A 1355-nucleotide genomic window follows, 5' to 3' on the forward strand; every position below is an offset into this window, starting at 1 on the left:
CCCTCACCAAAAGATAGACAATTATAAAACTGTGCCATGACTGCTACAATAGGGTGCTGTTGCAGTACTCTGGGATTATAAAATAGTACTTAAGGTTGGAGTCAGCAAAGACTTTTTGAGACTAGGAATCCCTAGCATTTAAAAATCCTGCTGAGTTTCTCACACATGCCCCACACTATAGTGCCTTCAGCTCTTGCAAGTTTGTTTCTCAGCTCTTGTGACTATTGCTGGATCTCCCCTGTCTTTGTGCCTGTGCCTGCTTGCTGCTCCTGTTTGTGCCTGTTTGTCAGTGATATAGCTCAACAGTTTGCTGCTTCCCATAGGCTCAGGAGAGAGCAGTCTCTCACTTCCTGATAAGCCATGTGTGGTGTCTCCTCCTCTGTTTGCCTGGCTCTGCAGCTCTCCCCATTTCTCTTTATCTTGGTGTCAATAAAAAGAGTCAAACTCTGTAAAATATTCAAAGAGATTTATTCTGAGACAAATATGAGTGACCTTGGCCCGTGACACAGCCCTCAGGAGGTCCTGAGAACATGTGCCCAAGGTGGTCGGGGTGCAGCTTGGTTTTATACATTTTAGGGACACATGAAACATCAATCAAATAAAGAAATACATTGGTTTGGCCCAGACAGATGGGGCACATTAAAGTGGGGGCTTCCAGGCTATAGGTAAATTTAAACATTTTCTGGTTGACAATTGGTTGAGTTTGTCTAAAGACCTGGGATTGATAGAAAGAAAATGTTCAGGTTAAAATGAAAGACTGTGGAGACAAAGGTTCCTTTGAAGTCTTATAGTGGCTGCCTTTAGAGACAATAGATGACAAATGTTTCCTATTCAGATCTTTAAAAGATGCTACACTTTTAGTTAATCTTTTTAGGATTGGGAGGGCCTAGAAGAAAAAGATCTAGCTGTGTTAATAGACATTCTTTACAGATGCAAATTTTCCCCCAAAAAGGATAGCTTTGCAGAGCCATTTTAAGATATGGCGAATAAACACGTTTTGGGGTAAAATATTTTTATTTTCTTCCTTTTCTTGTAATGTTATGCTAGAGTCAGGTTGGAAAGTCAAGTCATGATAAACAGGTTAAATAAAACCATCTGATGAGAATTTATGGTTTGTAGGGCATGAATCCCCAGGCCTGTTAGATAGGAATTTGGGCAAGATAAAAAAAATCAGAGCTTAGTCCTCACTGGTCTTACGGACCTTCTTTCTACAGGCCTCATTCTCTACTATTAAAAGGATGAATATTTAAAACATAAAAAGTTCCTTTCTAAGTAAGGTCCAGTCCCACTCAAGATGGATTGCCCTTTTGTAGAAATATATTGCTATAGAATGGGTTCCTAAGAAATAGATCCTG

General features: G+C 39.9%; 1 annotated feature.

Moving 5' to 3' along the window:
• Nucleotides 527-1064: an enhancer, noted in NCBI's record as "NANOG hESC enhancer chr4:10946361-10946898 (GRCh37/hg19 assembly coordinates)". NCBI's record gives its function as "activates a minimal SCP1, AML or CMV promoter by ChIP-STARR-seq in naive H9 embryonic stem cells {active_cell/tissue: H9 hESC(naive)}" and the evidence as "EXISTENCE:reporter gene assay evidence [ECO:0000049][PMID:30033119]".

This window comes from Homo sapiens, chromosome 4 (genome assembly GCF_000001405.40).
Source record: "Homo sapiens chromosome 4, GRCh38.p14 Primary Assembly".
Taxonomy (NCBI): domain Eukaryota; kingdom Metazoa; phylum Chordata; class Mammalia; order Primates; family Hominidae; genus Homo; species Homo sapiens.